At 49.2% G+C, this 21,267-nt stretch overlaps 1 protein-coding gene across 2 annotated transcripts, besides 4 other annotated features; it reads left to right on the top strand.

Annotated features, from left to right (window-relative positions):
• YTHDF1 (YTH N6-methyladenosine RNA binding protein F1) lies at window positions 19-20,721 on the top strand. 2 transcript variants are annotated; one of them, NM_017798.4, is made up of 5 exons: window positions 19-284; window positions 549-573; window positions 2,207-2,286; window positions 12,343-13,863; window positions 19,416-20,721. In NM_017798.4, the coding sequence occupies exons 1-5, from the start codon at window positions 258-260 to the stop codon at window positions 19,440-19,442; spliced, it is 1,680 nt and encodes a 559-aa protein (NP_060268.2). In that variant the 5' UTR covers window positions 19-257; the 3' UTR covers window positions 19,443-20,721. The 2 variants fall into 2 exon arrangements, with proteins under 2 accessions (NP_060268.2, XP_024307682.1); XM_024451914.2 differs by lacking the exons at window positions 19-284; window positions 549-573 and adding an exon at window positions 591-702.
• Window positions 77-146: a silencer, noted in NCBI's record as "silent region_13148". NCBI's record gives its function as "represses an Ori minimal core promoter by ATAC-STARR-seq in GM12878 lymphoblastoid cells {active_cell/tissue: GM12878}" and the evidence as "EXISTENCE:reporter gene assay evidence [ECO:0000049][PMID:35858748]".
• Window positions 15,628-16,229: an enhancer, noted in NCBI's record as "H3K4me1 hESC enhancer chr20:61831273-61831874 (GRCh37/hg19 assembly coordinates)". NCBI's record gives its function as "activates a minimal SCP1, AML or CMV promoter by ChIP-STARR-seq in primed H9 embryonic stem cells {active_cell/tissue: H9 hESC(primed)}" and the evidence as "EXISTENCE:reporter gene assay evidence [ECO:0000049][PMID:30033119]".
• Window positions 16,230-16,829: an enhancer, noted in NCBI's record as "H3K4me1 hESC enhancer chr20:61830673-61831272 (GRCh37/hg19 assembly coordinates)". NCBI's record gives its function as "activates a minimal SCP1, AML or CMV promoter by ChIP-STARR-seq in primed H9 embryonic stem cells {active_cell/tissue: H9 hESC(primed)}" and the evidence as "EXISTENCE:reporter gene assay evidence [ECO:0000049][PMID:30033119]".
• Window positions 18,739-19,033: an enhancer, noted in NCBI's record as "tiled region #12386; K562 Activating DNase matched - State 5:Enh". NCBI's record gives its function as "activates a minimal TATA promoter and a strong SV40 promoter by Sharpr-MPRA in K562 cells {active_cell/tissue: K562}" and the evidence as "EXISTENCE:reporter gene assay evidence [ECO:0000049][PMID:27701403]".
• Window positions 20,722-21,267: the final 546 nt, after the last annotated feature.

Raw genomic sequence — 21,267 nt, 5'->3', positions numbered from 1 at the left:
GCCGCCGTCGCCGCTGCTGTCGCCGCCGCCGCCGCCATTGGAGTCGACGCCTCCTCAGTGCGTCCGCGTCCCGGGCTCACCGCCGCTGCCGCCTCGCCAGGGGCCCGCGCGCCCAGCAGCCGCCGCCGCCGCCCGGCCGGCGCCCGGGGAATTGGCGGCGGGGCCCGGGGCCGCGCGAGCTAGGGTGACAGGCCCGGCCTCTAGGGGAGGCCCGAGCCGGCGGGCGCCCCGGCCCCGCGTCTAGTTGTTCATGAAGCATGTCGGCCACCAGCGTGGACACCCAGGTAGCGGGGCCGGGTTACAGGGGCCGCGGCCGGGGCCGAGGCGCGGGGTCTGGGTTGAGGTCCTGGGGCTGGAACGCAGAGCCCGGGGTCGCGGAGGCCGGGCCCAGGCGGGACCGGGGTCTCGGGGCCGGGGTCGCACGTGACCGCGCGTCGGGGCCGGCGGAGCTCGCGGCCCGTTGGAGACCAGTTCTCTGGTGAATAACTTTGTGTTTCCCTCTTCCCCCGGGTTGTGTGTACCCCACGTCCCGGCCTGCGGCGGTGCAGAGAACAAAAGGACAAGATAATAAAGGTGAGCGGAGTCCCGGGACGGCCGGCGCGGGCTGGAGTGGAGGAGGACGGGGAAGGAACGGTCCAGGAAGCTGCGTCTGGAACCGGAAACTTTCTCTCTTCCGCCAGCTTCAGGGAGATAAAACTTGAGGTTGTGCGACGATTCTGGGAGATTTGACAGGTCGAAGACAGGGGCTTCTCAAGAAGTGAATAAATGATTGCTCAGAGTAGTTTGGGCCCGTCTCTCCCCACCGCATGATCATGGATTTGCTTTGGGGAAGGGGAGGTAGGAGAGCCGGGTGGACATGGCCGCAGGGGTTGAGCGACTTGCCTTTTTCCGCCCAGCAGGGGCTGCTCTAGGAGAGGGGCAGTCCAAGGTTCTGCAGGCTAAGCTCCACATCCCCGGTAGTTGCAGCCCGTTTTCCAAGTCTGTTAGCATCTCCTGTGACATTATGGCTTGGGATAAACCCTCAGAGCGCACTCATGTGAAAACTGTTAAGTGACACTTCACGTTTACTTGGAACACTTTTTTAGCCAGTTTGTGTGTCAGCTCAGGTGTAACCAAATACGGTTCATCGTGTTTTAAGATTGGAAAAGGCCCAGCACTTTATTTACCTTTGCTTGCTTTTTCTGGCTGAGCATAATAACAGTGGGAAGGTAAGTGGTGTAAAAGGAAAACCAGTCTTGGGGCACCCAAATCACTGAGCCAAAGGGAGAAAGCTACGCTGAGAACTGCTGAGGGCAAACCTGCCTCCCATTCTATTCCTGAAAAAGATAGCTTCTAAGACAAAAAAAGTTACATACTTCCCCCACAGTTTGCCCACAAGGAAATTCCTGGTGGACAAAGGACAGAACTCAGAGTCATTCCTGCTCACTGAGATAAATGCTTATCTGATTGCTTCCTTTGGAAAGGCTAATCAGAAACTCGAAAGAATGCAGCCGTTTGTCTCTTATCTACCTATGACCTGGAAGCCCCCTCCCTGCTTCAAGTTGTCCCGCCTCTCCGGACCAAACCAATGTACATCTTACATTGATGGTTCTCATGTCTCCCTAAAATGTATAAAACTAAGCTGTCCCCCGACTACCTTGGGCACATGTTGTCAAGACCTCCTGAGGTTGTATCATGGGTGTGTCCTTAACCTTGGCAAAATAAATTTTCTAAATTAACTGAGACCTGTCTCAGATATTTGGGGTTCACTGTGGAGAGTCAGATAATAGCTCCCAACAGTCCTTCAGTTGCAGCCCCTTCCCTCCTAAGTTTTCTTCCCTCCGTTCTCCATACGTTTGGGCATACATTCTGCATTTGGGCTTTTGGAGGCTCCACTTCTTTTTGCCACACATAAGTCTTCTTAGACCATGTCAGTTTTCACCCTGGTTATGTGTTCCTTGCATTATGTGTTAACACTTGATTTGGTTAATCTCACCAAATTACGATTAAGCCTTTATTTAAAATTTATCCTAAATTATTGAAAGTTTCCCGTCCCCCTTCTAATTAGTTGTATAAACATCAGTTCTATACTGGTTGTACTCCTTTTAAAATTAAAGCATAATTTCTGCTAGAAATAGATGGAAATAGACTTTGCTAACTTTGCCTTCCAAGCTTAAAAGTAATCTTTTAAAATTTGAGGGTAATATTTTGCAACTTTTTGTTCTAGTACAAAATGGTTCGTTACATCAGAAGGATACAGTTCATGACAATGACTTTGAGCCCTACCTTACTGGACAGTCAAATCAGGTGAGTTTATTTTGTTAGCATATATTTGTTTTTAAGTTGGTTTTAATTGTTTTGTACCTTTACTGTCATTTCTGATTTTTAAATTATCCTAAACAACAAAGCAGCAGACTATAAAGTATTAGGAATGATAGACTGCTCATGAAGATGTGACTCCTGTTAACCTTGGGCATCAGTGGGGTGAAAATGATTTTCCCTGTGGAGGAGGCGGCATCCCACTGGGGCTGGGATGCAAACAGGTCTAGTTGGCTCTAGTGTTTGTGGGTCAGTGGTGTGTCTTGCCTTTGACGCAGTGGAGGTGTGTGTGTGTTTCTGAAGCTTCCTGGTTATTCTTAGCTCTGGATGATTGGAATTGTGGTCTGGGGAGGCAGCTAAGAGCTGGGCTGTGGAGCGACTGTGGAGCCAGAGGCCGCCTGGGTTTCAGTCCTTTTTTTGAGACAGCGTCTCACTCTTGCCACCCAGGCTGGAGCGCAATGGCGTGATCTCAGCCTGCTGCAGCCTCTGCCTCCCGGGTTCAAGCATTCCTCCTGCCTCAGCCTCGGGAGTAGCTGGAATTGCAGGCACCCACTACCACGTCTAGCTAATTTTTGTATTTTTAGTAGAGACGGGGTTTCACCATGTTGGCCAGGCTGGTCTCAAACTCCTGACCTCAGGTGATCCACCCGCCTCGGCCTCCCAGAGTGCTGGGATTATAGGCGTGAGGCACCGCGCCCAGCCTGGTTTCAATTTTAACTCCACCACTGACTGGCCTGTGTCCATGGCTTGCCTTCTCTTGCCTCAATTTCCTTTTCTGTAGAAGAGAGAGAGTAGTAACTGTTTGTAGAATTGTTGGGAGGATGACATCAGATGGTGCACATAAAGCGCTGAGACAGTACCTGATACAGCAGGGCCCAGTGAGTCATAGCTGCCCTGTTTTCTTAGGTAATTCAGGCTTTCTCTGCCTTGGCACTGTGGACATTTTGCACGGGAACATTCTGTTTTGGGGGCTGTCCTGTGCATTGTTGGATGTTTAGCAGCCTCCCTGGCTTCCCACCCACTAGATGCCATTAGCAACTCCTTCTCCCCATCCCCAGTTGTAGCAAGCAAAACTGTCTTGGTGGATGTTTTTTGGGGGATACAGTTGCCCTGGTTAAAATCTACTGGGAGCTGCTCTCTCTCCTCTGTGCTGCTGTTGCAGCAAAACTCCCAAGAGAAGCGGTATCTGTTTATGTCTAAGAGTCCAACTCGGGAATCAGACTTCCCCTGCCTCACTTTCCTACCTCCAGGCCGTTGGCTTGGATGAGGGGCTGCACCTCTGTGAGCTCCTCACTTTGGTGAGCAGGCCTCATGGGGCAGCACAAAGCAGATGCTCTGAGTGCTCCATTTCGTGTGCTGTGATTCACATTCCTTCCTCCGCCACTCCAAGTAGCCCTCAGCTACTGGGCATGTTTACTTTAAAGTAAAACCAGGCTTCACCTCTTCTCTGTGAAGGAATAAAACTAGTCTGCCCTTTTCTGAGGTGTCTTAGAACTTCTTAGAATGTTCCTTCATCCCCCTCCCTCCTACTGCACTTGGCGAATCAAGCAGCTTAGAGACCAAGAAACCTTGTACAGGTGGAGCCTCGGCAGCGCTGCCCCGCGCTCCGACCCTGCTTCTGTTTCTTGTCTCTTGGTTGCCTTCTGAGAATCTGCCCTTCCTCTGGGCAGAACTGACTTGACTTTAGTGATGGGCCTTTGGATAGAGGTAATGGCAGGAAGTTAACTAATTTTTTGAATTTCTTGTTTTCTAGTGTGTTCTTATTATTTTAGTACTTTAATGGTATTATGTACTGAATTTTAGCCAATAAAGGGGGAGGGAGGTTGCATCAGTACACTTAAAAGTGTGTGTGTGTGTGTGTGTGTGTGTGTGTGTGTGTGTGTGTGTGTGTATTTTGGAGACAGGGTCCTGCTGTTACCCAAGCTAGAGTTCAGGGGCATGATTATAGCTCACTGTAGCCTCAAATTCCTGGGCTTAAGCAATCCTCCTGCCTCAGCCTCCTGAATAGCTGGGACTACAGGCATGCACCACTACACCTGGTGATTGATTGATTGGTTGGTTGTAGACACAGGGTCTCTTTGTGTTGCTCAGGCTAGTCTTGAACTTCTGGGCTCAAGTGATCTTCCTGCTTTGGCCTCCCAAAGTGCTAGGATTACAGGTATGAGCCACTGTGCCCAGCCAAAAATATTTTTATAAAGTCGGAGCTTTTGTGTTGTTTGGGAGGATTTCTTTACAAATCGATTATTTTTATGTCAGTGGGTGTCTTAGCTCCATATGTAGAGTATACAGTATGGTTTTATAACTTTTGATTTACACAGACATACCTTTGGAGCCATGGCCACAGTTAAGATAGTGGGCATATCAATAGCTCTGGGTCCTTTTTTGTTGGAGACAGGGTCTCACTCCATTGCCCAGGCTGGAGTGCATGATGTGATCATGGCTCACTGCAGCCTCGACTTCCCAGGCTCAGGTGATTCTCCCACCTCAACCTCCCAAGTAGCTAGGACTACAGGCATGTGCCACCACGCCCAGCTAATTTTTAAATTTTTAGTAGACATGAAATATTGCTGTGTTGCCCAGGCTGGTCTTGAACTCATGGGCTCAAGCAATCCACACGCATCAGCCTCCCAAAGTGCTAGGATTATAGGCATGAGCCACTAGTGCCCAACCTAACCCTGGGTACTTAAAAGAGAAAAATCTAGATATGGTTTGTAGTAGCCAGTTGGAGGCTACCGTGTTTTGTGTGAAACTGTCATACTTAGAATGGTTTAGAAAGTCTTAGGAGAATGCCTGCCTGTTAGGTTGGTTTAACTTGTAATGGGCTGTGAGGGGTTGTTGCCGTGTGGTGGGGGTCCTTCCCTCAGAGAGGCCTCACCCGCCTTGCTGTGCTTCTGGTGCTAGAGTTTCAGTCCTAGTTGCCCCTGAGGCGCTTGCGACTGTAGCCGCTCAGTATCTGTCTTCTAGTCTGTGACTTGAATGGGAGTTGGGGGAGCAGAGGAACTGGGAGTGAAGGGCTCTGGGTTGGGCTTGATTGTTGTGATTTTCTCTCTTTTTTTGTTTTTTGAGATGGAGTTTCGCTCTTGTTGCCCAGGATGGAGTGCAGTGGCGCGATCTCAGCTCACTGCAGCCTCCACCTCCCTGGCTCAAGTGATTCTCCTGCCTCAGCCTCCCGAGTAGCTGGGATTACAGGCACGCGCCACCACGCCTGGCTAATTTTTTTTGGTATTTTTAGTAGGGACGGGGTTTCTCCATGTTGGTCAGGCTGGTCTCGAACTCCCGACCTCTGGTGATCCCCCTGCCTCAGCCTCCCACAGTGCTGGGATTACAAGCATGAGCCACAGTGCCCCGCCGATTCTCTCTTTTGAGGCTTTTCCTGCTCGGGGACTTCTGGTTTCCCAGTTCTCTGTTGTTTTCTGAAAGGAAAGACTGTGAAATGACCCAGAACAGTTCCTACTCAGAGTTTAGAAGACACTGTCTTGGCATGATGCCTGAGTTGGGAATAGATGCCGCTGGCCCCCCAGGCTTCCTGCACACTCCCTGACCAACAGACTGAGTGTGTTTGCTGTGATCCCACTGACAGAAATTACCAAGGCCATCTGGGCATGCCTGTACCTGTGCTGCCGGATGCAGTTTGGTCAGCAACAGACCACAATATGATAGTGGTCCCATAAGACTATGATGGTGCTGAAAAATTCCTGGCACCTGGTGACGTTGGAGCTACCATGTTGAGGGCAGTGTATTACTCGTGTCTGTGGTGCTGCAGTAGGTGTGACCAAACCTACTGCCCCAGTCATACCAGAGTATACACCTACAGTTACGTACAGTACCATACAGTACGTAATAATTGATGATAAACGACTGTTACTACTTTGTGTATTTGCTATACTTTTAAGAGCATATTCTGCCTACTTACTAGAAACAAAGTCAACTGTAAAGCAGCCTCAGGCAGGTTCTTCAGGAGGAATCCAGAAGAAGGCAATTGGTGTGACAGGAGATGACAGCTCCATGTGTGTTGTTGCCCCTGAATACCTTCCAGTGGGGCAAGATGTGGAGGTGGAAGATCCAGACCCTGTGTAGGCCTAGGCTAATATGTGTTTTTTGTGTCTTTTTGGGTTTTTGGTTTTTTTGTTTTGTTTTGTTTTGAGGCAGGGTCTCTCCCTCACCTGGGCGGAAGTGCAGTCATGACTCATTGCAGCCTTGACCTCCTGGGCCCAAGTGATCTTCCTGCCTTATTTTTGATTTTTTGTAGAGATGGGGTCTCACTGTGTTGCCTGGGCTGTTCTCGAAATCCTGGGCTGAAGCAGTCCTCCTGCCTCGGCCTCCCAGAGGGCTGGGATTATAGGCATGAGCCACTGTGCCTGGCCGTGTCTTCATTTATAACAAAAAAGTTCAAAAAGTTAAAAAAAATTTAATAGAAAAAAGCTTATGGAATAAGGATATAACAAAAAAAATTTTTGTACAGCTATATGATATATTTGTGTTTACAAAAGAGTCAAAAACCTTAAAGCTTTTAAAAAAGTAGTTTGTAAAGTAAAAAAGCCATAGTAGGCTAGGGTTTATTATTGAAGAAAGGAAAATTTAAAAATTGAGTGTAGTGTTAAGTGGACGGTGTTTCTAAAGGTGACAGTGGTGTCCAGTGAGGGCCCAGGCCTTCACATTCTCTCCCTGACTCACCCAGTGCAACTCAGGCCTACCTGCTCCATTCACCGTAAGTGCTCTGTACAGGTGTCCCGTTCTTGATTTCTTATACCGTATTTTTACTGTACCTTTTCTGTGTTTAGATAATGTTTAGACACACAGATACTTATCATTGATGTACAGTTACTTCCATTATTCAGTACAGTTACACACTGTACAGGTTACGGCCTCAGTGTGTGGTAAGGATACTGCCTCCATGCTCACACGTCTCTGTTTGTGTGAGGACACTGATCACACAGTGACGAAATTGCTCATCAGGTTTTGGGTGGTTTTTTTTCACTGAACACAATGCCTCATCAGAGCATCTAGGACTTCTTTGAGAACAGCCTGGAGATGCTTGGCACAGGGCTTCCTGCTGTGCCTGGGCAGCTCTGGTGGGCCCGGGGTGACCTGAGGGCCAGCAGGGGAGTGTCAGTTTCTTGTGGCTGCATCTAAAAATATGGGCTTCCTTAAAATACCCAGTGGCAGCGCCTGCTAAGTAGGCATTTGCCATCACAACGGCTTCCCAGAAACGCAGCTGGAAGGACATAGTGGGATCTTAACGTGCTTCTTACTGGCAAGTTGCTGAAACAAATGCAGAAATTCTGTCAGAAACTGCTGTCTCTGCATATTGATGCCACCAGCTGAGGGGCTGAAATTGCAGCCTCAGAGGGACCAGTCCTGAAAACAGATCTGAAAAGTGAGCAGCCAAGTAAGTAAATTAGGGTTTTTCGGTTATTTTCCTCTAACATTTTCTCTGTGCTCCCTAAGGCTTCTCCTGAAGAACAGGTCATCCTGGTAGGCCTGTTCCCAGTCCTGGGTCAGAGCTGCTTCCCAGGAGCCATATCACTCCCTCACTTTTCAGCAGTACCCTTAATACTTTTCCATTTTACATAATTAATTATTTTGTTTTGTTTGTTTGTTTTTATTAAGCAAATGCTTCTCTCTGTTCCTCTTGGGCTTCTGAAGGGATCCTTTCTGCTTCTCCCTCTAGTCTCTCCTTTTGGTCATTCCAACTCCATCTCAGAAAAATGGATATAGGAAGTAAACTTAACCATTGAACTTCAACTTAAATGGTTCTGGTCATTCGGATGGAAGTTTCTTTTTTTTAATGTGGTTAAATTTGAGTAAATATGTAAAACTGCTCTTAGTTCTTTTTTGTTTGTTTTTGTTTTTTTTTTTTTGAGACGGAGTCTCACTCTGTCACCCAGGCTGGAGTGCAGTGGCGTGATCTTGGCTCATGGCAGCCTTCACCTCCCAGGTTCAAGCGATTCTCCTGCCTCAGGCTCCGGAGTAGCTGGGACTACAGGTGCCTGCCACCATACCCGGTTTAGTAGAGACGGGGTTTAACCATATTGATCAGACTAGTCTCGAACTCCTGACCTTGTGATTCACCTGCCTCGGCCTCCCAAAGTGCTGGGATTACAGGCCAGAGCCACTGTGCCCGGCTAAAAATGTGTTAGCCTTTCTTCGATGAGGTCGTCAGTTCTCCGCAGGGGCTGCAGTGAGGCGCCTAGCATGTGGAAGTGTTCAGCAGTCTTCTGTGGAGGCGGCTGCAGAGTAACAGGATCATGGTTTTGCTTGTATTGTCCTTAAAAGATCTGTTTATGCCACTCATTTACGAGGACCAAAATATGCTTGCTCAGAGGTAGTAATGTGTTAAGAACAAGCTTTGAATTTGTTCTTTTTTTTGGAGGGGGGTGGGGGGGACAGAGTCTTGCTCTGTCACCCAGGCTGGAGTGCAGTGGCTCGATCTCGGCTCACTGCAAGCTCCGCCTCCCGGGTTCACGCCATTCTCCTGCCTCAGCCTCCTGAGTAGCTGGGACTACAGGCACCCACCACCACGCCCGGCTAATTTTTTGTGTTTTTAGTAGAGAGGGGGGTTTTACAGTGTTAGCCAGGATGGTCTTGATCTCCTGACCTTGTGATCCGTCCACCTCAGCCTCCCAAAGTGCTGGGATTACAGGCATGAGTCACCGTGCCCGGGGTTAATGCAGCTGTATCCCTGAGAAGTAAACTTTCACACTCATAACTCAGTGCCCATGGAGCCGTGGCACTAAGGAATGTTGAGGGAGCAGCACAGCTCGCCTCCAGCACTTGGCAGCGAGTGAGCGCTGAACCTGTGCCTGGCTGTGCGGGAGACAAAGGGAGATCAAAGGCCCTGAAAGGAGGCTGCATGTGTTTTCCAGGCAGCCCGAACTGTGCGTTTCCAGTTGTCTCCCACGCACTGTGACCAGGACTGTGAATGGGACAGCTTCCCTCACCAGGGAAGGAGTGTGGGGCAGCAGCCTGACATGTGGCTCATAAAGAAGGCAGAGGACAGCATCTCCAGGTTTTCTTATGTACAGAATGACTGACTTCACATAGCTTTACAAATTAACCTGCTTCTTTACCTTCAGAGTTTTGGAGGAAAGATGGCAGATGTAATAGGAAATGGGCTGTCAGTGAGATTGAGGTAAAAATGGAAATCCGGCCCACAGAACCCCAGGTCACTGTATCCAGCCTGCCTGTGTGGCCGTGGAACCCGGTGAGCACAGAAAGTATCAGGAGGGTTTAGGGCTGCCAGCAGAGCTGATTAGCGTCACCGTCTTCTGTGGCTCAGGATGTGAATGGTGGTGATCTGGAGCTGAAGGATTTGCAGAGTACTGGCTAGAACTGCAGGCCCTGCACCTTGGGTAGAGGGAAGCTGGATGGGTCATTTATGGGCTCTCTGTCTGTGCAGCGTGTGTGCTAGGTGTGTCCATTTAATACTTAAAACGGATTTTCAGGAATGTTACATGCCTCATGTAATGTGGATTTTTTCATGTGGTAAGTGATGTCCTGTCTTAGTTAAGGCTTTAGGTGTAAGTCAGAAGTGTCCCTGGGCATCTGTTTCTGTGGCCTGACTCCTCTGGTTGGTGTTGGGGCCAAGTGGATTAGAATACCACACAGCCATCGAGGTCTTTTTTTCCCATCTGCTCTTTTTGCGTGGAAGGAAGATGTGTTGTGATTGCAGCGCTGCTGAGGAGCACGTGTCCAGCTAATGGGAGGAGGAGGGCTGGCTTCCCTGTGGGGGGGACTGTCCCCTTGCCTGCCGTCCTTGAAGGCACCTGCGGCCAGTGACTCGAGGAGCAAGTCCTGTGCACAGACCGCCCCCCTGATTCGCTCACCCCCCCAGTCTGGGCCTGTTGGCCAGGGCAGCACCCGAGGGAAAGGCTGCAGCAAAGGAGCCAGCATCATGGAAACTGTTTTGAGGGAGAATAAGCTCAGATTAATCTCATGTTTGTGGAACACTGATAGCATCCCACTTGTCTTCTTATACCCCCAGAATCTCAAATTTATATTACGGGGAAACAGCAGTTAGTGCATTTTAAAAGATGATTCTGGGGCCAGGCGCTGTGGCTCATGCCTGTAATTCCAGCACTTTGGGAGGCCGAGGCGGGTGGATCACCTGAGGTTGGGAGTTCGAGACCAGCCTGGCAAAGATGATGAAATCCTGTCTCTACTAAAAATACAAAAATTAACCGGGTGTGGTGGTGGGTGTCTGTAATCCCAGCTACTTGGGAGGCTGAGGCATGAGAATCGCTTGAACCTGGGAGGCGGAGGTTGCAGTGAGCTGAGATCGTGCCACTGCACTGCAGCCTGGGCGACAAAGTGAGACTTCGTCCCAAAAAAAAAAGGGGGGGGTTCTGGAATTGTCTGCTCACAAGTGGAGAAGTCAACAGGAAGAAAATTAGAAAATAAATTGGATTTCTGAAGCCCTCAGTATTCTAGGATGGGAGCAGGAGGCAGGAAGTGGTGGCCGGGTCATTGGTTCATTAGTCCACCAGTGTTGGCTGGTGTTGGGGCACTGCCCCCAGGGAGAGCTGCTTGTGGTCACCCCTCCAGTGAAGCAGGCCTGTTTCATTGTCTGGGATCCCACAGTCTCCCTCATTGCCTCAGCTACTTTCCCACCTGGTGTCCCCGACTGGGTGCTGTTATCCTTCATAGTGTAGCCTTTGATGCCAACATGAAAGGTCAATGTGGCAGGGATGAGGTTGTGAGATGAGGTCTGGAGCATATTCTCTTTATGTAGAACCTTCTGGTTACTTGGGGGACTGGGGGGCGGGGAGCGGGAAAACTAAAAATCCAAAAACGGGCGTCACAGACTGGAGAGCCCCGTGTTTTACTTCCGGCTCTGTTTTCTGTAATAGCATCTTGGCACTCTCAGACGATGCGTCTAGGTGGGAGCCTTCTTACCTCACACTGGACCCCGTCTCACCGGCCTGTGTACAGGTGTGTGTGCGCACACACATACAGACACACCTCACACGAAAGTCATTTTAAGGCAGTGTTGGAGGGACCCAATCATGACCAGACCCTTAGTTGAGTCTCTCCAAGGAGATGCCGTCCCAGAACTGCTGACCCTCAGTCTAAATTTGTGCCCTGGGCAGCTCTTCAGAGACCCCTACGATGGGGCACTCAGGCACTCACCTTCTCTAGCAGACCTTTTTGCCTCATGGTTCCGTCACTTTAAAACCACTCTCTGAGGTTCCAGTCACTACACAGACATGTTTTCATAAGGAAGCCCAGGTGAGTTGGCATCCAGAGTGAGGGCTGCTCTGCACCCGGAGCACAGAGTCCACACTTCGGATGCTTTCTCTTGGCTGAGGAGCTGGAGCCAGCCAGGGCCCTCTGTGCAGGGGCCTACTGCAAGAGCCCAACGCTGTGCCCAGGAAATCATGGGAATGTGAACCCCCTTGGACTTAGAGGCAGGGGCCATCTGCTAGGAAGGGTGTGTGGAAGGAGCCTCTGAAGCACCCTTGAAGGATTCTGGGAGAGCTTTGGTCCAGGTATGGGAGAGTGTCCCAGGAGGAATGTCAAGGCCCAGAGGTGGGCGCCCAGGGCCTGCTGAGTAATCAGCGAGCTTGGGGTCTGTTCTCTGGAGCAAACTGCCTCACGGCCCTGCACATCCTGGTTTGCCAATGGAAATATCTCTGCCTTACAAAGCTGTTTCAGTTCCCATGATGCCGTCCGTGTCTGTCATAAGCGTTGTCGTCAGCAGGCAGGGGTTTACTCCTCTACCTCTGGATTCCTTTGCAGGTAAGAGTAGAGGGGGCTGCTACCTTGCCAGTTCTAGAGAGGCATAGCTTCGTCATTTAGCCTGAATTCAGAGCCTTGCCAATGATGCTTCGTATTTTGAGACGGCACCCTGGTTTGTGTTCGTTATTAATTTCTCTGTCTTGATTTGGTTCTCACATTGGCGACTACAGCTTTCTTTCTGGAAGGAGTAGCCCCATGCTGTGCAGGTTTTGTTTTTGCTCCACCTGTGCTTAAGCAAGAGGCGGTTGGCATTCTCAGCATCTCGTGTTGTAGAAGTGGTGTAACTTGTCACGTTTGCTTTTGCAGAGTAACAGTTACCCCTCAATGAGCGACCCCTACCTGTCCAGCTATTACCCGCCGTCCATTGGATTTCCTTACTCCCTCAATGAGGCTCCGTGGTCTACTGCAGGGGACCCTCCGATTCCATACCTCACCACCTACGGACAGCTCAGTAACGGAGACCATCATTTTATGCACGATGCTGTTTTTGGGCAGCCTGGGGGCCTGGGGAACAACATCTATCAGCACAGGTTCAATTTTTTCCCTGAAAACCCTGCGTTCTCAGCATGGGGGACAAGTGGGTCTCAAGGTCAGCAGACCCAGAGCTCCGCGTATGGGAGCAGCTACACCTACCCCCCGAGCTCCCTGGGTGGCACGGTGGTTGATGGGCAGCCAGGCTTTCACAGCGACACCCTCAGCAAGGCCCCCGGGATGAACAGCCTGGAGCAGGGCATGGTTGGCCTGAAGATTGGGGACGTCAGCTCCTCCGCCGTCAAGACGGTGGGCTCTGTCGTCAGCAGCGTGGCACTGACTGGTGTCCTTTCTGGCAACGGTGGGACAAATGTGAACATGCCAGTTTCAAAGCCGACCTCGTGGGCTGCCATTGCCAGCAAGCCTGCAAAACCACAGCCTAAAATGAAAACAAAGAGCGGGCCTGTCATGGGGGGTGGGCTGCCCCCTCCACCCATAAAGCATAACATGGACATTGGCACCTGGGATAACAAGGGGCCTGTGCCGAAGGCCCCAGTCCCCCAGCAGGCACCCTCTCCACAGGCTGCCCCACAGCCCCAGCAGGTGGCTCAGCCTCTCCCAGCACAGCCCCCAGCTTTGGCTCAACCGCAGTATCAGAGCCCTCAGCAGCCACCCCAGACCCGCTGGGTTGCCCCACGCAACAGAAACGCGGCGTTTGGGCAGAGCGGAGGGGCTGGCAGCGATAGCAACTCTCCTGGAAACGTCCAGCCTAATTCTGCCCCCAGCGTCGAATCCCACCCCGTCCTTGAAAAACTGAAGGCTGCTCACAGCTACAACCCGAAAGAGTTTGAGTGGAATCTGAAAAGCGGGCGTGTGTTCATCATCAAGAGCTACTCTGAGGACGACATCCACCGCTCCATTAAGTACTCCATCTGGTGTAGCACAGAGCACGGCAACAAGCGCCTGGACAGCGCCTTCCGCTGCATGAGCAGCAAGGGGCCCGTCTACCTGCTCTTCAGCGTCAATGGGAGTGGGCATTTTTGTGGGGTGGCCGAGATGAAGTCCCCCGTGGACTACGGCACCAGTGCCGGGGTCTGGTCTCAGGACAAGTGGAAGGGGAAGTTTGATGTCCAGTGGATTTTTGTTAAGGATGTACCCAATAACCAGCTCCGGCACATCAGGCTGGAGAATAACGACAACAAACCGGTCACAAACTCCCGGGACACCCAGGAGGTGCCCTTAGAAAAAGCCAAGCAAGTGCTGAAAATTATCAGTTCCTACAAGCACACAACCTCCATCTTCGACGACTTTGCTCACTACGAGAAGCGCCAGGAGGAGGAGGAGGTGGTGCGCAAGGTGAGGCTGGGTGTTGCAGGCAACTGCCATGCAGATGTGTCCTTGGTGCCGTACTTAGACCAGGTGGCCCGGTGGTGAGCAGATGCGGCAGGTCCGCCGAGCTGAGTCTCGTGACAGGCAGCTCCCAGTTGGCCGCAGGTGGGCGGGCCCAGGTCCTGGCAGCCTCGTGGGCTTTCCCTGCGGAGAGTACTGCTAGTAACCAGTGATGGTATTTGGGTAGATGTCACCGAACGACTTTGATCACTTTCCAATTATAATTGAATAATTGGGACCACAGTGTACACATTCTGTTTTTCTGTTACAAAGAATTTGAGGGTAACTTTCTCCTCTCCTTTTTGAATTGTGATACTTTCTGGAACAGTGCTTCCCAGCCTCCGTCCATGAGGAACACTTAGGTGATATTCACGAAGCACTGCGGTGGGCACGTAGGGCATCGAGACCCCACCTGGCCAAGGGCCCTTGCTTCCCAGGGCACTGTCCCTCAGTAGTTGGGAATCTCTGGTCTTTGATCTGGAGGTCGTTGCTTTATTTTTCTTTTAAAAACCCAGTATCCTGCAGTTTTTGGAAACAAACTCACTCCATCTAGGTCGTAAAGAAAATGGTGGTGGTGGGGTAGGTTTGGAATCCAGACATTTTATAATGACAAATATGGATCCTATATCAAAAATTCATTGACTGGGCCTTTTTGAGACAGTCCTGATTTCCTGGGATACTTGTAGCCAAACTCCTGAGTCTGTGCTGTCATGTGATGTCTGACGGGATTGAGTGTGTTTGCTCTTCAGAAGGGCTCAGATGCCCGTAAACTGGCACCAGCAATGGGAAAATGATGATGCTGACATACTTCATAATGCTTCCTTTATTCGAGAGAGTTCATCCTGAGATTCTCTCCTGCTTTTTAAAAAATATCCCTTCCTGAAATGTCAGTTGATAATAGATGGGTTTTCAGTGTTTTTTTCAGTTCTCTATGTTAAAGGAATTATTCACCTGTGAGCACCAAGTGTCCTAATGTATTTTGGGCAGAAAGGCGTGTACATGGCATATATAGGGATGTATAGAGTAGAGCCGCCTGCACTGTCTGCAGTCTTACATTATGCAAGTCCTGAACAACTTGGGGCTTGTAGAACTTTGGAAAAGTATCAGTCCCTCTCTTTTGTGAGAAAAGAAGTGGATGTCATTTATTTCCAGTTACTGAATTCTGAATTAGTTACTGAAATTCTGTGTTTTAGGTCTTTTTTTTTTTTTTAAATGGAGTTTTGCTCTGTTGCCCAGGCTGGAGTGCAGTGGCGCAATCTCGGCTCACTGCAACCTCCACCTCCTGGGTTCGAGTGATTGTCCTGCCTTAGCCTTCCAGGTAGCTGGGATTACAGACAATAGCTCGGATTACAGACTTTTAGGTATAAAATGAATACTGAATTGCTAAAGTTGCAGGGATAATTGCTAATGAAGCTTTAGGTCCTTAGCTGGCTAAACTGGAAGCTGGCTGTGTGTGTGTGCGCGCACAGTTTTTCTTCTTAAATACCGTAATACTTGGGTTTTCATAAAGTGTGCGGACTCCTGACCTGGTTGGTGTTTTTAAAACTCTAGTGTCCTACAACTTGCATTATAAAAACTTGATCTAGATAACTGCTTTTGTGTGTCGGGTTATGGGTTAAGCATCTTGGTAAGCGGCCTGCAGGGTCTGTGGGCATCTGCCTGCAGGCAAGATCCAAGTGTTCCTCAAACCACTGGGTGCTCCAAGGCGAGTCCAACAGAGCCGCTGGTGGAGCATCATTGGAAGGAACTTGGTAACCCTCCCCTAAACTGTTAGCCAAGCTGGAGAACTCTGGGCCCATATGGGTCAGTGTTAACATTAATTCATTTTATTGAAAGTGACAAATGAGAACCTGGTTTGTTAATGTTTGGTGGAATTTCAAATAGCTTTTTTTTTTTTGAGCCAATCTCACCGTCAGCCAGGCTGGAGTGCAGTAGTGCAATTTTGGCTCACTGCAACCTCAACCTCCGAGGTTCAGGCCATTTTCCTGCCTCAGCCTCCCAAGTAGCTGGGATCATAGGCGCCCACCACTGCACCCAGCTAAATTTTGTATTTTTAGTAGAGATAGGGTTTCACCATGTTGGCCAGGCTGGTCTCGATCTCTTGACCTCAAGTGATCTGCCCACCTCAGCCTCCCAAAGTGCTGGGATTACAGGTGTGAGCCACCGTGCCCCGCCTCAAATAGCTTTTTGTTTTTGTTTTTGAGACAGGTCTTTCTCCGTCTGCCGGGCTGGAGTGCAGTGACTTAATCACAGCTTGTTGTAGCCTTGACCTCCTGGGCTCAAGCGGTCTTCCTGCCTCAGCCTCCTGAGTAGCTACAGGCGTGCACCACCACGCCTGGCTAATTTTTGTATTTTTTTGTAGAATCAGTGTCTTGCTATGTTGCCCAGGCTGGTCTTGAACTCCTGGGCTCAAACAGTCTTCCCACCTTGGCTTCACAAAGTGCTGGGATTATAGGAATGAGCCACTGTGCCCGGCGTCAAATATCTTTTAAGCTTATTGGGCAGTGTAGAGAAATGGAAGTGGTCCTTGAGGAGGTCCCCAGACTGGACTTCGCTGCTGGCTCTCCCTGCCTGCGAAGGTGCTCTAGGCCTTGTGCTTAACGGGCTGGGCTAGTGGCTCATCCAGGATTGGAGTCTTAGGTGTCTTGAGGCTGAGACTCTGGGTGTCTAATGCTTTCTCCCTCTGGGTTTCCCATGAAGAGTCAGTGCAGTTTTGTTTTGTTTTTTTTTTTTTTAAGACAGAATCTTGCACTGTTGCCCAGTCTGGAGTGTAGTGGTGTGATCTCGGCTCACTGCAAGCTCTGCCTCCTGGGTTCACACAATTCTCCTGCCTCAGCCTCCCGGGTAGCTGGGACTACAGGCCCTTGCCACCACGCCCAGCGAATTTTTTGTGCTTTTAGTAGAGATGGGGTTTCACCGTGTTAGCCAGGATGGTCTCGATCTCCTGACCTCGTGATCCGCCCGCTTTGGCCTCCCAAAGTGCTGGGATTACAGGCGTGAGCCACTGCGCCCGGCCGAGTCAGTGCAGTTTTAAGAACAAAGTAGTGTGCCGAGGAGAGGGTTGTGCGCCTGTGCTGGTAGAGCCCCCGGGCGGTTTTCTCAAGGTTCTCTCAGGACTTCGAAGAACAGACCCACCTTTTCTTTATCATTTAGAGTTTGGCCCCATTGCTGTAAAGGTCATAAACAAGTTGAGTGTTGAGAAAGTGAAGTAGAGTTAGCATTTTGCAAGATTGCTGTCCAGCTATAAATTTAGAAACATACTGATTTCTTAGGATGGCAGTAGCTTTTATGGCAGCAGAGTCAGACCAAGTCCTGGGTTGATACATTTTTTGGTTTTAAAAAAACCTAGAAACGGCCACTTCTTAGCTTAAAACAGTGAAAGTGGTGAGCGTCCCACACTGTGAGCATTGCTTAGTTCCTCAGACTGACTGTCCTTGCCCTGGCGGCAGGTGCCCCTGACCTGACCCCACTTCGACCTCCAGGCCGGCTCAGCAGAGTGGCTCTTTGACTTTGGAAATTAAGAAAGAGCATAGAGAATCTTAGGCCATAAGCATTTCCTGGATGCTTGTTGAGCATTCCTCAAAAGAACGAGCTGTGCTTCGTCATTTTTTTTTTTTTTGAGAAATTTTATGAGGAATAGTATTTTTTAAAGAGCACATAGTAAACTTTGTAGCTGTTTATAAGGGCTGAAGGGAGATGGGGATCTGGGGAGTTTACCTGTGAGTGGCTTTAACATCAGCTATTTGAACTCAAGAGATTGGTATTTGCTTTTTAGGAACAGCAGTACCTCTTTTGTTAAGAGATTGATTGATTGAGAGTTTCGCTGTCTCCCCCAGGCTGGAGTGAAGTGGCACAATCTCAGCTCACTGCAACCTCTGCGTCCTAGGTTCAAGTAATTCTTGTGCCTCAGCCTTCAGAGTGGCTGGGATTACAGGCGCCGGTCACCATGCCCTGCCAAATTTTTTTTTTTTTTTTGTATTTTTAGTAGAGGTGGGGTTTTACCATGTTGACCAAGCTGGTCTCAAATTCCTGAGCTCAGGCAATCCACCCACCTTGGCCTCCCAAAGTGCTAGGATTACAGGCATGAGCCACCACACCCAGCCTGGGAAGAGATTTTTTTTAACGGAGAATGTTTAAGAGAATGTAAAATACAGAGTTCTTAATTTTTCCAGTTTTACATTTGAGGGTAGGGAGGAAATGTTAATTCTTAAGAGTAGGACCTGCCTATCCAGGTCCTTAATCCAAATACTCTGGAGCCTTCTCGGGACAGGGAACACCACATCTGCTTCTGAGAGCAGCCACAGTTGAGGAGGCTGGTGTTTATTCCAGTGCCCAGCAAAGTTTATTATTAACCGGAAGACACATTCAGTCCATTTTTAGCAAAAGAGGAGGTTTCAGGTTAAATGTTTGGGTGTCCTGCCCGCTGGTTTTCTTTATTAGTTTGCATCTTGATAGATGGCCAGATGAGGGTGGATGTGCCTGGGATGCATCTTTTTGTTTTGTTTTTATTTCGAGATAGGGTCTCTCTCTGTTGCCCAGGCTGGAGTGCAGGGCAGATAATAGCTCACTGCAGCCGAAAACTCATGGGCTCAAGCGATCCTCTCGCCTCAGCCTCCCGAATAGCTGGGATTACAGGGTGCGCCACCACACTCGGCCTGGGACACCTCTCTAGCAGAGTGGTGCAGCGTGTGCTCCTTAGATCGCACATTTTCATCTTTGTATGCTGCCTTGTAAGGAGACTGAAGGGGCTTCTAGACCCTGCTACTCAGGGAGGCCAGTGTGGGAAAAGATTCGGGTGTAAGTCTCAAGCTTGTGTGTCACATACACTCTGGAAAAGATGATTCTCTTACGGGAGTGGGCAGCAAACCTGGTCAGAGGAGCTTTGCCTTGAGCCAGTCTAGCCGTGGGGGAGTGGGGAGGGGCATGCTCTTCCCCTTGGCGTGGGAGTGAGCTGGGGAGTGGGAAGGGCCTGAACTGGACAGGCCCACACCGGTCCTCCTGCCCTTCATTAGCCACATGACACAGCACCTTGTTAGCCAGTTGGAAGGATTTTGGTGTCCTTTGTGCCACTGAGAAGTTTAAATGAGATAAAATACAGAAGAACAGCTTCTGTCTCCCTGGCCTCCTTGAGAGCCTGGTGCGTGCCAGCTCCTCCCTCTGAGTGCAGAGAATTTCACATTGCTAAGTGTCTTTCCATGTGGAATGATAGTGGCACATGAGGGAAAGACAGCTGTGGGAAGTGAGGCTTCCCAGCAGACAGGTGGCCCATGTGACCGTTGTGGTTGATGCTTTTCTCCTGGTAGAGGGGGTGGGGAGAATGCCATGCCCAGTGTGGCCAGTCCCCCACAGAGCAGGCCCCAGTGCAGCTCAGAGTTGTGTGCTGGTGTGGCTTGGGTACCATTCAGGGTCCCGCCTCCAGATTTGCAGGTGCTGCTAAGGGGCAGCCTCGGATCTCACTTTTGGGAGGGATTCATTGGTGTGGTTACTCTGCGTTCAACTTTTGTTTTTTCTTTTTACAGGAACGGCAGAGTCGAAACAAACAATGAGGGCGAACCAGTTTCTTACATGTTCTAACGTTTGACTTTGAAAACAGTTTAAAACACGTGTGCTTGGTCAGCTCCAGTGTGTCGTCCCGTGCGGGGGTTGAGTGTTGCATCTTTGCCTTTCTTGTCGTTGATTTTTGCCCAGATGGATCTGCATTTATTTGTACTTTTTCTATGTATTATAATCCTGTAGAAGTCACTAATAAAGGAGTATTTTTTTTGTCAGCTTATCAATCAGACTGATCTAATGTGAAATGTAAGTATCCTTAAAAACAAAGCATCTATTTTGGCAGAAATTGTGTTCTTAAATTCAGTCATTTGATATTCTGTGAGACTTCATATTTCTCATCCCTTTATTGCTTTTTAGCAAACATAAGAAACCATGAGTCATTTTGTCATTTAGAGTATTCTGATAAAATCTCTTGAAAATACTGAAATCAAAAGGTTAATGATTTTTTGTTCATTCTGATTTGTCATTTTATTATCTGTTATCGGTCTAAAGTGCTAATTTACCCATTTGATTTTTCTGCTAGACAGATAACTTTTAATTTTTCAAATTTGGCAGACACTTTTTTTTTTTTTTTGAAAATCTTTCCTTCCAGATCTGTTGCCCACTGAACAGCCACCCGTCCCTCACTGTCCTGGTGTCCGATTGGGCTGGATGGTGTTGGGGCATGATGTGTGGAGGAACTGGAAGGTGCTTTAGGTCTGGTTCAGGGTCGGGCATTCTTTGTTGTTTGCACATCTTTTTAAATTTTACACCTTTTCTTAAGAATTCTAATGCCGTCTTAAGTTTTTATACCAATAATGCTGAGCTTTAAGTGTAGGATCTGGTAGTACAGACAGTGTGATGGATGATGCTGCTGGTTGTAAATTTCATCGTGTGTGTCTAATTTTTTTTCCTGTTGAATGGGTAAAAACAAAACAAAACTTTTTTTAGAAGATGAATTTGCTGTCATGTTTTGTGGAATGAGGGACCGTTGAGCTCACTACCACCTGGAGTTTGAGTTGAAGCATGAAAATGGTGCCCATGCCTGACGCTCCAGCGCCTGGATCTGCACGTGCCCTTGTAGAGGATCCTTACCGTCCTAGAGAGCAGACGCTTTCTGAAAACTACTTGCTCCAAAAGACCCTCTGAGTTAACGTTTCAGCTGTATCATTAGACTTGTATTTAGAGCGTGTCACTTCCTCTGAACTGTTACTGCCTGAATGGAGTCCTGGACGACATTGGGTTTTTCCTCTAGGAGAATACAAGCCTTAATAAACAATACTATTTAGCAAACTTGGTGTCACCTCATTCTTCACCCTACTTGATGAGTTTATGTGTTGGAGCTTTTTAAGCTGCAGAGCCATTCGGGGAGTCACCGTAGAAAGCCCTGTGTTTCTCAAGGTGTGGGATTCTCGTTCCCTCGCTTTGGAAGAGGGAGCTGTTAATTTCCTTAAGACTATAAACTACATGGCACCGTCACCCACCCCTCATCACATGAATGTGCAGACGCAGCGGTGCGTGCAGCACCTGGGCACCGCTACCCCCTTTCTGGACTTGGCTCCTCACCGTCTCTCTCCATTCATCCTCCAATGCCTCTTATTATTTATGCAATAAGAGTTTAATACCTGTTTAGTTTGTTTTCCTTTTGAGGTAAAATTTATAAGCAGTGAAATGCACATTGTGTACATCTGCAGAAGTTGACAAGTATGTGATAAAGTTATGCAATATTAGCCTCAGCCCAGAAAATCCTGAGCTCAGGCAATCCGCCCGCCTTGGCCTCCCAAAGTACTAGGATTACAGGCACGAGCCACCACACCCAGTCTGTGAAGAGATTTTTTT

The sequence above is a fragment of the Homo sapiens genome, chromosome 20, assembly GCF_000001405.40.
Source record: "Homo sapiens chromosome 20, GRCh38.p14 Primary Assembly".
NCBI classification, from domain to species: domain Eukaryota; kingdom Metazoa; phylum Chordata; class Mammalia; order Primates; family Hominidae; genus Homo; species Homo sapiens.
The sequence above is the reverse complement of the archived record's forward strand: the minus strand, read 5'-3'. Positions and strand labels throughout refer to the sequence as shown.